At 47.3% G+C, this 14263-nt stretch overlaps 1 pseudogene, besides 2 other annotated features; it reads left to right on the top strand.

Moving 5' to 3' along the window:
• On the top strand, positions 5814-6234 carry RPL34P16 (ribosomal protein L34 pseudogene 16; annotated as a pseudogene).
• Positions 10097-10780: an enhancer, noted in NCBI's record as "H3K4me1 hESC enhancer chr6:5783997-5784680 (GRCh37/hg19 assembly coordinates)". NCBI's record gives its function as "activates a minimal SCP1, AML or CMV promoter by ChIP-STARR-seq in primed H9 embryonic stem cells {active_cell/tissue: H9 hESC(primed)}" and the evidence as "EXISTENCE:reporter gene assay evidence [ECO:0000049][PMID:30033119]".
• Positions 10781-11464: an enhancer, noted in NCBI's record as "H3K4me1 hESC enhancer chr6:5783313-5783996 (GRCh37/hg19 assembly coordinates)". NCBI's record gives its function as "activates a minimal SCP1, AML or CMV promoter by ChIP-STARR-seq in primed H9 embryonic stem cells {active_cell/tissue: H9 hESC(primed)}" and the evidence as "EXISTENCE:reporter gene assay evidence [ECO:0000049][PMID:30033119]".

Genomic DNA, 14263 nt, shown 5'->3' with positions numbered 1-14263 from the left:
CATCTCGGGTCTTTGTTCTGGGTCTGCCCTTGGCCAGGATGATGTCTTCCACTCAAGTGGCCCCTTCTCATCCACTGGGTCTCAGCTTCAATGTCAACCTCCGGAGACACTCTCCTGACCAATACCCCTAAAATGCAACCACTGCCACTCTGGTTCAGGCCTATGCTCATTTTCTTCACAGCCCCCACTACAATTGCACATAGTTATTTGCCTGCTTATCTGTCTTCATGTTTCCCTCCCACTGGCATATAAGCAACATGAGGGCAGGGCTGTGACATCCTTGTTGACAGTGACACTACCTTCACTTGCCTAGGACTGCACCCAATATGTGATAAACTCTCAGTCAAAACACACTGAATGACCTAAGTTAACCTTGAGTCGACATTGACCTTTCCTGTAAGCTCTTCGGTCACAGAACAGTCCTCTGCAGACCAGGGGGTGGCTTTCCTGATGGATCCCACAGTATTGCCTACTCCAGGCAAGCTCCTGCCCTCTACCTTGGCACAGCCAAATGTAGGCTGGCTTGTGGCAGGGAAACACATATTGTCTACATTAGCCTCAAAGTAGCATTACGTGTTTTCTGTTTGTTTGTTTGTTTGTTTGACAGAGTTCACTCTGTCGCCCAGGCTGGAGTCCAATGGCGCAATGCTGGCTCACTGCAATGTCCCTCTCCTGAGTTCAAGCAATTCTCCTGCCTCAGCCTCCCGAGTAGCTGGGACAACAGGCACATGCCACCACACCTGGCTAATTTTTTTGTACTTTTAGTAGAGACAGGGTTTCATTGTGTTAGCCAGGATGATCTCTATCTCCTGACCTTGTGATCCGCCCGTCTTGGCCTCCCAAAGTGCTGGGATTACAGGCGTGAGCCACCGTACCCAGCCAGTAGCATTCAATGTTCTTACATTTTATGTCACAAAGTGGCAGGGGTCCCATGACATGACATTGGACATTGTGTGGGCCAGGGGCAGATAAGCTTGCACCACAGCCCATGGCAACCATGAGTTCTGAGAAGCTGAAATGCACATGTGGGAAATTTGATACTTCTTCAATACAACAACAGAATTTCTCTATTTCCATCAAAGAAGGTCACTAGGAATGGAATTAAGCATAGAAAAGGAGGTTAGGGTTTTATTTGTTTATTTGTTTTTTTCATTTCAGCTCGTAATTAAGCTGTTAGGCAATGGCATTTTACTGAAAGTGGCTGCTGAACGTCCCTCTGGTGCCTGGGGTTTCCTGCTCAGGTTTCCCTTGCAGACCCCACAGGAGGCGGGAGAAGGCTGCTCAGGAAATTCTCATGGCATCAAAGCACAGCCTCACCCTCTTTAGGCCAAGCAGTTTCAAAGTGTGGACATATCAGACTTATTAAAATGGATAAGGGCTGAGTGAAATCCTGGAATAGACGAAGGGGGACACAAGCTGTGGTAGACACCCAGTGACTTGTGTAGGAAACGGGAGGTGAGGTACGGGAGCATAAAGGCACTCTCTTCTGACAGCTTCCATGTCCCAGGTAAGTTGGGAATGGGACCCAGCTCCCCTCGAGTGAGAGCAGGAGGAAGGAGCATTGGAGGCTCCAGGACAGAGGAGTATGAGCTGGTATCCAGGAAAAGGAGGAGCCAGCTGATTAATAAACTGCAGTGGGATTGGCTGGCAATAATTAGGGGCCACTGAGGTCCAGTCAGCAACGCAGAGTGACACCCATTGGCACTGGTTGGGCTTTGTCTCCAGGCTGTTTGGGTTCACACGTGTGGGTGGGTGCAGAGATGCAGACACCAGGGGAGGGATTTTTCCAGGCAAGCATGAGAGCGACAAGCAGGGCAAATGAGTTGTAAGTATTTGCCAGGGACTGATTAAAATGATGGAATGTGGCTTTACATTTCAGGTTTTATGTTTAAGTCTTTAATCCATTTTGAGAAAACATAGGGAAAAAGCTCTTTGGTATTAGCCTTGATGATGATTTTTTAGACATGATCCCAAAAGCACAGGCAACAAAAGCAAACACAGGTGGGATTGCATCAAACTAAAAAGCTTCTGCACAGCAAAGGAAACAACAGAGTGGAGAGACAGCCTGCCGAATGGAATAAGATATGTGTAAACCATGTATCCTATATGGGGTTAATGTCCAAAATATATAGGAAACTCAAACAACTCAACAGCAAGAAAGCAAATAACTTGATCAAAAATGGGCAAACAACCTAAATGGACATTTGTCAAATGAAACATACAAATGACCAACAGGTTTATGAAAAAATGCTCAACATCACTAATCATCGGGGAACTACAAATTAAAATGAGGTATCACCTAACACCTTGAGAAAGGCTTTTATCAAAAAGACCAAAGGCAGGTGTCGGTGAGGATGTGGAGAAAGAGGAACCCTTGTACTGTTGGTGGGAATGTAAGTTAGACCAGCCATTATGGAAAACAATTTAGAGGTTCCTCAAAAAATTAAAAATAGAACTACCACGTGATCCAGCAATCCCACTACTGGGGATATATCCAAAGGAATGAAATCAGTATCTAGAAGAAATATCTGCACGTCCACATTTGTTGCATTATTATACAGAGTAGCCAAGACATGCCATCAAACTCTAAGTGTCCATTGATGGATGAATGAAGAAAATGTGGTATATGCACACATGTGATATATATACTCCACATCCTCACTAACACAACAGAATACTACTCAGCCTTAAAAAATACATTTCCAACAACATGAATGAACCTGGAGGACATTATGCTAAGTGAAATAAGCTAGACTCAGAAAGACAAATACTGCATGATCTCACTTATAGGTGGAGTGTAAAAAAGTTGAACTTTATAGAGGCAGAGAGTAGGATAGTGGTTACCAGTGCCCGGGGGTGAGAAGAATGGGGAAATGCTGGTCAAAGGGTGTGAAGTTTCAGTTAGACATGAGGAGTGAGCTCTAGAGACCTATCGTACATCATGGTGGGTATAGTTAGTAACAATGTATTGTGTTCTTAAAACTTGCTAAGAGAGGCCGGGCACGGTGGCTCACACCTGTAATCCCAGCACTTTGGGAGGCCGAGGCAGGCGGATCACGAGGTCAGGAGATCGAGACCATCCTGGCTAATATGGTGAAATGCTGTCTCTCCTAAAAATACAAAAAATTAGCCAGACATGGTGGTAGGCGCCTGTAGTCCCAGCTACTCGGAAGACTGTGGCAGGAGAATGGCGTGAACCTGGGGGGCAGAGCTTGCAGTGAGCCGAGATCACGCTACTGCACTCCAGCCCGGGCAACAGAGCGAGACTCCATCTCAAAAAAAAAAAAAAAAAAAAAAGAATTGCTAAGAGAGTAGATTTTAAATGTTCCTTCCACAAAACATGACAGGTATGTGAGGTGGTAGATGTGTTAATTGGCTTGATTGTGGTAATTATTTCACAATGTATACATATATCAAAACTTCATGTTGTTCGCCATAAATGTAAACATTTTTTGTCAGTAACACTTCCATAAAGCTGGGAAAAAAGAGAGTTCATTCAAATGTATGCCACATTAAATACATCCCACTATGTAATTTTTTAATGATGGAATATGGGGTCTTTTCATTATAAGTTCTTTTGTGGCATTTGATTGGTTACCATGTCCATGATTACAATTTTTTTTTTTTTTGACACAGAGTCTCCCTCTGTCACCCAGGCTGGAGTGCAATGGCATGATCTTGGCTCACTGCAACTTGAGTAGCTGGGATTGCAGGCACCTGCCACCATGTCCAGCTAATTTTTGTAGTTTTAGTAGAGATGGGGTTTCTCCATGTTGGCCAGGCTGGTCTCAAAACACCTGACCTCAAGTGATCTCCCTACCTTGGCCTCCCAAAGTGCTGGGATTACAGGCATAAGCCACTGCACCTGACCATGACTGCTAATATTTTTAAGTAGAAAAAACAAATGTAAAGCAGATGCTGGTCAGATTAAGAATGAGCCGGTCCTAAGAGACAGTGCATGGAAGCACGCCAGAGTTCATCCTGCACCTCTGCCTCCTGGAGCAAGGGAATCACCCGGACACAGGGTGTGAGGAGCACCCCTAGAATCTCCAGCACCTCTGAATGGGTTTTCTGGTCAGGGTTTGGCTCTCCAGGGCACAGCTTCCACCCTTCCTAAGATAGAGTCCACTCTACTCTTAGGTAAAATATGAGTTAATATACCAAAGGCAGGCAGGGGGAGAGACTGTCCATCTGTTATGGGTTGGGTTGTGTCCCCCCAAATTCACTGTTGAAGTCCTGATCTTCTGAAGTCTTTACAGGGGTGGTTAAGTTAAAATGAGGCCATGAGGGTCTGTCCTAATCTAAAGTCATTTGTGTGCATGTGTATATTCATTGCAGCACTATTCACAATAGCAAAGACATGGAATCAACCTAAATGCTCATTAATGGTAGACCGGATAAAGAAAATGTGGTACACAGACACCATGGAATACTATGCAGCCATAAAAAGAACAAGATCATGTCCTTTGCAGGAACATGGATGGAGCTGGAGGCCGTTATCCTAAGCGAACAAACACAGGAACAGAAAACCAAATACCACATATTCTCACTTGTAAGTGGGAGCTAAATGATGAGAACACGTGGATACATAGAGGGGAATAACGCACACTGGGGCCTATCAGAGAGTGGAGGGTGGGAGGAGGGAGAGGATCAGGAAAGATAATGAATGGGAAGTAGGCTTAATATACCTGGGTGATGAAATAATCTGTACAACAAACCCCCATGATACAAGTTTACCTATGTGACAAACCTGCATTTGTACCCATGAACTTCAAATAAACGTTAAAAAAAGAGGCAATTGGGATACAGACACATAGAGAGGGAAGTCTGCAAGCCAAGGAGAGAGGCTGCAGGAGAATCCAAACCTGACACTTTGATCCTGGACTCACAGGCTCCATGACTACCCGGCAATAACCTTCTGCTGTTTATGCCCCCAGTGTGTGTAACTTCCTTATAGTAACCCCAGCAAACGCATACATCATCCAGACTAGGTAGGCCATTTTTCTAAAATATTACTAAACTATGTCAAATATTTAAACACTGTTTTGTAAAATACAAGCTGAAGTGTTTGAACGTTTCCTCATTTGCACATTTATGCGCCAGTGAATTGCTGGTTGACATATTCATAGGTTTAACCATATGGCATCTGGTTCATTTCATATATGTTTGGTTTCATCACACTGAATTCTGTTGTCACTTACATTAAGTCCCCAAAAGACCTTTTCATGAATGTTAAGGAGAAATCATGATATAATGAAATCAGATAAATAAACAATTGAATCTGGTGAATCCAACCAAAATTAAAAGTTGTCATATTAGGGTCGAGTTTGTACTATTTTGAGTGATAGTAACATATTACGGAATGAGACACAAACAAGATGCATTCCTAATTATATGTGTCTGTGCACGTGTGTGTGTGTGTGTGTGTGTGTGTGTGTGTGTGTTGATGTATAAACTCTGGACAAAAAAATGTTTTCTTAAAGAACTATTTGAAGGCAAATAGTTCTTCAGTTGAATAGTTCTTCAAATAGATAATAAACTATTTAATAAATAGTTCTTCTTTAAATAGTTCTTCAAATAGTTAAGAAACTATTTAAAGTTTCTTAAAGAACTATTGGAAAGTGGTTAAGAACAGGCAGAAACCGGAAGAGTGTCCATCTGTAAGGGATGAGGGTTTGCCTGGCTTTCCAGCTGGGGCTGATACAGAAAGTACAGCCTCTCTCACTGCCTTGAGGGCTCAGCGGATGAGAAGCGATTCCTAAATGGCTGGAAAATGAGGGGGGAAACGCCAGGCGGAAAGGAGGAAGGGAGCACTTCCAGGGATGTTGTCTGCAGGCACTCAGAATGGTCCGGCGTTTGACATACTGTCGTAGGCTTTCCTGAAATACAGCCTTTAACAAAACTAGGCTCCCCCGAACCCCTGGTAATGGAATTGTTTACCTTTATACCAAGAAGGTTGGGAAAGCACCAAAATCTGCATGTGGCGTGTGCCCAGGCAGACTTCGAGGGGTTCTTGCTGTAAGACCTAAAGTTCTTATGAGATTGTCCAACACAAGGAAACATGTCCGCAGGGCCTGTGGTGGTTTGATGTGTGCTAAATGTGTCTGTGACAGGATCAAGGGCGCTTTCCTTATCGAGGAGCAGAAAATTGTTGTGAAAGTGTTGAAGGCACATGCACGGGGTCAGAAAGCTAAATAAAAAATGAAACTTTTTGAGTAATAAAAATGAAAAGACTTAAAAAAAAGAAAGGAGCAAGGGGGGAGCCCTAAAACCTGTGTAGAAATTCCCCCAGGTCTTCAACTGACCTCTCAGCTATGCCTGAGTGGCAGAGAGTCCAGGGAAACTTCCAGAAGGAGCCAGCTGGAGTGCTGGGGAGACAAGGGAGGAACCAGAGAATTAGATGTAGTAAATCTCAAAAGGTTGACATTTTGGGGAGCATGTTCTCTGACCACAGTGAAATTAAACTAGAAATCGACATCTTGAAAATCTCCAAAAAGCTATAGTGGGCATTATTGGGCAATTGGTGAGCTTTGATTATGGGCTGAGGATTAAGGTAATAATATTGTATCAGTGTTAAGTCTCCGGATTTTGATAATTACACTGTGATCATGTACAAGATGGTATTTGTTTTTGGGAAATACACACTGGAGCATTTAGAGGTAAAATGGCAGAGTCTGTGGGGGGAGGGAGAAGGAGAGAAAAGGGAGGAGGAGGAAGAGAGAAGTGAAAAAGCAAATGGCATAAAATGTTAAACCATCGTTGAATCCGGGTGAACGGTATATGGGAGCTCTTTGTACTACATTTGCAACTTCTGTGAAATTTTAAAATTATATCAAGATTTACCCCTTAAAAACAAAAAAACAAAACAAAACCTAACTCGCATCCTATTTTGCTTCTATTTACTTCTGGAATTGTCTGTATAGGAGATTAGAGGCAAGACCTTCCAAAGCGCCCCACCCTCACACCCAGCTGGGAGGGGCTGTGAATGGTACCATGGGGATCGTGGCCAAACAGAAGACAGGGGCTTTGTCACCTGGCGCAGAGGGCAGACCAGGTCCCCACAGCTCCAGCCCGCTCCTGAGCACCATCTCACCATTACTGGGTTTCTAAGTGGACAGCAGCAAGGTCCTTGTGCTAAACTGCAAAGCACATCACAGAGCCCAGAGGCAAGGATTAGTGTCTGCTAGACAAATGAGCAGCTGCGATTATCATCTTGTTCAAAGTTTAGAAACATCTAGATAGGAAAGGTGAGAGAGCAACTGTCTCTGACTAATGAGTTTTTGTGTGGTGGCAGTGGTGGGGGGCGTTCAGAGGAGGCTGAAGAGGGGAGGGAAAGTTGCCACCCATGAAGAACCTTTAGAGAGCAATATAGACTTTGTGATCTGCCCCTGTCTTAGCATTTCCTGCACATCCCCCATGCACCACACGCCTCAGACAGGTTCTCTTCTGTCTTTGAAGCAGTCGTTAACTCTGCACACGCTGGTGGTCCTGAAGCACCTCTCTGCCGCCTTCCTGTGTTTAGGAGAATTCCCCCTCCTGTGTCTCAGTGGGAGGCAGGGACTGACTCCCACAGCAGAAGATAAAAATGCCAGGGACTTGCTTTCTCAGCCGTCCTTACGGTGTAAGCTGGGATGTGAGGCAGCCAATCAGAGGCATTTGCCCAGAGTCTCAGGGGCCCCCAAGGCCCTCTCTCGGGCAGCTAGCACAGCTGCAGGCCATGGAGACCCTGGGTCAGCAGTGCAGGTGCAGCACCCAGCAACTAGGACCCTCAGCGGCTGCAGCAGCAGCATCCCTGAGGACCAGTCACGGGCATGGTTCCCACACACCCAGCTGCTCTGCGACTTGCCAGACATCATGTGTACAATCCAGTGACATCAAATACTTTCTCAATGTTGTGCAGCCATCACCACTCTCTAGTTCTAGAACTTCATCACCCAAATGGAAACCCTGTACCCAGGAAGCAGCCGCTTTCATTCCTCCCTTCCCCACACGGTCCCGTGCAACCACGAGTGCATTCCATCTCCATGGATTTGCCCTTTCTGGGTGTTTGATATGAATGGAACCATACATTCTGTGGTCTGACTTCTTTCCTTGAATGTTTTCAAGGCCCATGCATGTTGTAACATGTGTCAGAGCTTCAGTCCTTTCTATGGCCAAACAATATCCCACTGCATGGATATATTACATTTTTTTTACCCATTCATTTGTTGATGGACAGTGGGTTGTGTCCAGCTTTTGGTGATTGTGAATAGAGCTGCTATGAATATTCATGTACTAGTTTTTGTGTGGAGACCTATTTTCCATTCTGTCGGATATAGACCTAGGAATGGAATTGCTGGGTCATATAGTGATTCTATGTTTAACTTGTGGAGGAACTGCCAAGCTATTTTTCCCAGTATCCTTTTAATACATTATTTTATCCTTAATATAAGCAGAGTTTATTTCTGTTGTTTGCAACTAGGAACCCTGACTGATATCTTATTCCCACCTTACTGATGGGAAACCTGAGGCTCAGGGAAGACTGAGTGGTTTGTCCAAGGCTTCTGACTGGATCCAGGCTACAAATCCCTTAACAGTTTGCTGCTGAGACTCTAGGACAGTGAGATTCCCTTTGCATCTTACCTCCTGCACAAATGATATGGTGCGGTGGTTCCCAGCAGGGATCCCTGGAGGCCAAGGGTGCCATGAATTATTGACCAGGGTCTGGGAGCTATTTTGAATATTTCACTAAGTGTAATGGAAAACCTCCACTTTCGCACAATGAAGCTGTTCAGGCTGTCTAAAATGTCAAGTGTCTTTGCTTTTGGCAGAAATTAAATCAACCCATGGTGGTAATAAGGGTTATTGCCTGCTGATCAGAGACTCTGGCTCTCAGGCTGGCAGTTATGTGTATCTTTGATTAATTTTAAAAATGGGAAAATGAATAAATTATTACTTAATAAATGCAGTTGTTTTGGTGAATGAAAATCTTTTAAAACATGGGGTCCGCGGGGAGAGAAATCAGACATGAGTGTCTTGGTGACGAGAAGGTCATCAAAGCATTGAGAACACGTCCTTGGCTGTCTCCTGGGACTCTGGGTCTGAGAGTCTTGATTCTGCCACAGACAGCTCAGACCTTGTGACCGTGGGTGTCCCCTTCTCTGCCACAGAGGGGCTGACTTAACCGTTGCTAAGCTTCCTTCCAGCTGTGGTGTCCTGTGATTCTAACCCACCTATGAGGGGAGGCAGCGATGAAGAGGGGAGATAATTCGTTTTTTTCTAGATGGCTGTGGGGCACTTTCCCAGGGAAGCCAGAAGCTGAGCTGCCTGCAGGACACAGCAGTGACCAGAGATGGGAGGTCCTGCGCGCACCCCAGTCTCTCTCTCCAGACCCCTTCTCCTGCTGTATCCTCTGGCTTGCAGATGACCACTTTCCTTCACCCCTCACCTCTTCCCTCACCCACGTCCCAGCAGGCCATTGTCAGGCCCTTTCTATCCCTGGAGGTCTGTCCTCTGGATCAATACCTCTCTGTCCCCAGGCTGTCTCCCACAGCGTCCCCAGCTGGGCTCTCAGCCTCAGGCTGGGCTCCTGAGCATTCACCACCTGTTTCCCTGGCTGGCATCACAGAACCCCGATATCTTTGTTTTGTCTTTGCTAACGTGGTGTGGTCACCTCACACCTTACTTGGTGTAAGCTAAGCAAGTAAGGTAAGGTGTCACGAAGCAGCCGTGACACCTGCCCTCCCAGCACACCTCTCACCATCCTTCCTAAAGCCTGCACCAGCCACAGGGAGCCACATGCGGCCTCCCGGATGGCTAGGCTGTTCCCGGCCTCCAAGCCTTTGGGTCATCCCTAATTGCTTTCTTGACATTTAGCTTGAAAGAGTGACAAAGTGACATTTTAACTCCTGGTGATACATACTGGTCCTCATGACAAATACAGTCAGCCCCAGTGGGCTTCTGTGTGATTTTGAACCCACCCCTCCACCTCTCTGGGTGCTGAATACGCTCATCACCTGAAAGAACATTTACCGTCTACCTAACCATGAGCTATGGACATAAATAAATTAACATTTGTAAAGAGCCTAAGAACGTTCAAAGGAATGTTACCCAGCAGTGAGTAAACAGCTCCGTGAAGTGTCAGCTCTGGAGGGCAGTCTTGCAAGTCGTGAATTGACTGATGAACCCACAAACAGGCATTCATCAGTCAAAGACAATGGTTTGTGAACTCTTGAAGCTCATGCCCTGTGTGGGCATCAGACCTGAGATTTACTGTTTAATGGGCCTATTTAATATCTACCCAGAGATACATAGCGTCAGATGCCAGAGGGGGAGGGCTCAAGTGTCCCAAGAGTACCCCTCAGCCCTCAGACACCAGTCGCAGGGCCAGGCCTCCAGAGCTTCTGACCCATTGGCTTCAAGTTGGGGTTCCTACAACTCCCACTTTGTGTTTGATTAATTTGCTGGAGCGACTCACAGAACTCAGGGAAACACGTTTACCAGTTTATATGAAAGAATGTCACAAAGGGTACAGATAAAGAGAAGCACAGGACGAGATATGGGGGAAGGTGCCTGGAGCTTCGGTGCCCATCCTGGGCGTGCCACCCTCCAGGAGCCTCCACGGGTTCAGGTATCCGCAAGCTCCCGGACCCTGTCCTCGTGGGTTTTTATGGAGGCTCCGATGCACGGGCATGCTTGACAACCACGCGGAAGTGTGACCGGACAGAAAGCGTGTGACTTAAACCCAGCAAGGCCGGCCTGCTCGGACTTTTCTTGGCTTCTCTAAGCAGCATTCCTTCCTCTAGGGTATGGGGCAGGACTTTCTGTGGAGTGAGGGTTTTTTGATCCACAAACAGATTAGCATCCCGCCGTGGGCAAGTGAAAGAAAAACAGCAGAAGGTCAGAGAGAGATTCTGTTTCCTGAGTCCTAAGGCGCCCCAGCATTCTAACAAGGAATGTGGGTGCTGGGAGCCAGGAACCTGGACAAAAACCAAAACGCATATCCTAACACCACAGGCCTTCTGCGATGCGACGTTTTTCCAGACACTTCCCAGACCTCACAATCCCTTCCGTCTTCCCTTCATTGTCGACTTCTCGGCCTGATTTTAGCAGCTTTTGCACACACTGTGCCATTTAACTCTTAGGTGTGGCTCAGGGAGCTTAGCGGGTGCTCAAGGACACTGGATTTGAACTTGAACCGCCTGACTCCAAAGTCCAAACTATTCACCACTTTGCTAGTCTTCCTGTGTTCATCTTGAAAATGTGCTTGAGGCAACCCTATTAAACAGCGTTTCTCAGATCTGTTGCCCACACACGGCACAAACTGCCAGAGCTCACAGGCCCTCTCCTGGCCTGGAGTGAGTCCCCAGCAAATCCCAGTTAGAGCCTGCTGGGGATGCAGGCACGGAAAAGGCCAAGCAGCGGGGTGCTCCGTCCCAGGCTGGAACAGCACAGCCGAACCACGTCAGAGCCAGTCAGCCCCGAGGCGTGAGGCAGGGAGGCTGGGCTTGTTTAGCTTTCTGTCTCCCAGGGTTCTGTGGTGCCTGTCTGTAGGGGACAGAGAAGCTCTGTGAGCTGGTTGTCCCTGTGCTATTGCTATTAAAAGGCCCTGCCGACGGTGCCGCCTGGGCGTGGGGGTGATTAAGGCGCAGTGACAGCAGGTTGGCCTGCTGCCCTGGCTGGGGAGCGGTGCTTTGCCAGGCATGGTTTCCCTCATCAAACGGGGGAAACAGGTGGCTGGGTCCAAAGTGCTTCCCTCTGACGGGGGTGCGGCTTCACTCCCATCATCTAAGTCTGAATTAATCCCAGAGCAGCCTTCTCCAGGTGTGCTGGGCAGGAGACAGGTGCACAGGGGAGGGAGTGGGGGAGGAAAGGAGTGAGAGGAAAGAAAAGAGGAAGGAAGGGAGAGAGGGAAGGAGGAAGTTCCCTTGCACTGCCCAATGCCAGTGCTTTGCAGGGTGGGGAAATGAGAGAGGAAGGCATTGAAGATGTTTCTCTTATCCAGGCTTCCCTTGGACCCTCAGGATTTCCTTTGCCTGGGTCCCAATGACCTGTGACTGGCTAAGGGGCACCGTGAAATCCCCTCACATGCAGCCACCTCATCAGAGCAGGGAATGTGGACCTGCTGGGCACAGGCAGCCAACGGTGGCCACTTCCTTGCTCCTCCTCCCCCCCACTGAGTAGCACATTCTTAGGGAATCCAGAAGACCTTCCTACCCGCGAGCGCCGAGAGCCTGGGAGCATCTGAGATCCGCTCTTCCTCTCGTCCCAGCTGTCACTGCCCTTCTGTCTCTTGTGCCCTCCAGTGCCGAGGTCATGGGCTGGCAGAGCATGTGGTCTGGACCCTCTGCGCGTGGACAGGCCCTCCTCAGCTGACTTGGCCTGAATGGGGAGCCGGCAGGCTGGGACACCCCTCTGAGTCTCAGCCGTGGATTATAGGCCAGCTCACAGGCTCTCGGCTCAGCTGCCCGACAGTGTGCCTCTCCAGGGCTGCCAGAACACTCGGGGGCATCCGGGTCACATGAAGGCTAAGCATGTCCTGGGGACACTCAACTTGAAGGCCCCCTTCAGCCTAAAGACATTGTGAGCCCCTGGTTTACTAGCTATGGTCACTGTCACAGGTAGGCACAGGGGGAGTCATCTGGGAGGACAGCATGGTCCCTCTGTCTTGGGCACTGTATTAGATTCCTAGAGCTGCCATAACAAAGCACCTCGAGCCATGTGGCTTAAAACCATAGCAATGTCTGGTCTCACAGTTCTGGAGGCCCGAAGTCTGAAATCAAGGTGTCAGCGGGACCACGTTTCCCTCTGAAACCTGTAGGGCAGGAGCCTTCCTTGTTTCTTCCAGCTTCTGGGAGTTTGCAGGCAATATTTACGTTCCTGGGCTTATAGATGCTCCACTCCAATCTCTGCCTCTGCTGTCACATGGCGTTCTCCGGGTGTCTCTGTCTTCATGTGATCATCTTCTAATGAGGACACCAGTCACATTGGATCAGGGCCCAGCCTACTCCAGTATGACCTCACCTTCACTAATGACATCTGCAAAGACCCTACCTCCAAACACAGTCACACTCTGAGGTGCTAGGGGTCAGGACTTCAACCTTTGTCTTTTGGGAGACACACAATTCAACCCATAACCGGGGCTCTCAAGGATATGAGGGTGAAATTTCCTTCCTCATTCCTTGTGTAGTCTACTGGTTAAGCCTTAATGGTGAGCAGCTCAACTTGCATGCTCTGAAAAGAACACACTGCTCCAGCTCCCCTGAGCGCGTGGGTTGCCTGGGGCCTTGTTAAAGGCAGATTCAGACTCAGCTGGTCTGGCGGAGGAGGGGGGGCCAAAGACTCTGCGTTTCTATTAAGCGCCCAAGTGATGCTCAGGCCGCTGGTCAGTGAACCAAACTTAAATAGGGAGAAGGAGCTAGACCACAAAGCCTTCCCAAGGAGTCAGGCCCCTCCTGCCCCAGAGGAGAGGTGGAGGGCTGCAAGGTTCAAGTGCTAGAAGAAAGGAAGCAAGCAGAATGCTCCAGTTTAACAGTCAACAGAAAACGGCATCCCTATTACAAGTGCATAGTCAAACCTGCTCCAAGGCCCCAGGCTGGGAGCTGCCATCTGAATTACCCGTAGCCAAATCCCTAGCAAAGAGTGGAGGACAGGCCGAGCTGCCAGGAGGGCCTCAGGGGAGGCCCACCACTTCCGCCTGCTTCCACCTTTGTCCCAATTCAATCAACTCCCATGCTTTTATTTCTCTTGGGAAATACTTTAGAAATGGGATTTTTCTGGGTCATATGGTAAATACATGCTTAACTTTTTAAAATAACTTTTTATTACGTATAATTCATCTACCATAATATTCACCCCTTTCTAAAGTGTATGATTCAGTGGCATTTAGTAGATTCACAGAGTTGGGCAACCATCACCACTGTCTAATTCCGGGATACTTATGGATTAAAGACTTACATGTTAGACCTAAAACCATAAAAACCCTAGAAGAAAACCTAGGCATTACCATTCAGGACATAGGCATGGGTAAGGACTTCATGGCTAAAACACCAAAAGCAATGGCAACAAAAGCCAAAATAGACAAATGGGATCTAGTTAAACTAAAGAGCTTCTGCACAGCAAAAGAAACTACCATCAGAGTGAACAGGCAACCTACAGAATGGGAGAAAATGTTTGCAATCTACCCATCTGACAAACGGCTAATATCCAGAATCTACAAAGAACTTAAACAAATTTACAAGAAAAAATCAAACAACCCCATCAAAAAGTAGGCAACGAATATGAA

Source organism: Homo sapiens, chromosome 6 (assembly GCF_000001405.40).
Source record: "Homo sapiens chromosome 6, GRCh38.p14 Primary Assembly".
Classification (NCBI taxonomy): domain Eukaryota; kingdom Metazoa; phylum Chordata; class Mammalia; order Primates; family Hominidae; genus Homo; species Homo sapiens.
The sequence above is the reverse complement of the archived record's forward strand: the minus strand, read 5'-3'. Positions and strand labels throughout refer to the sequence as shown.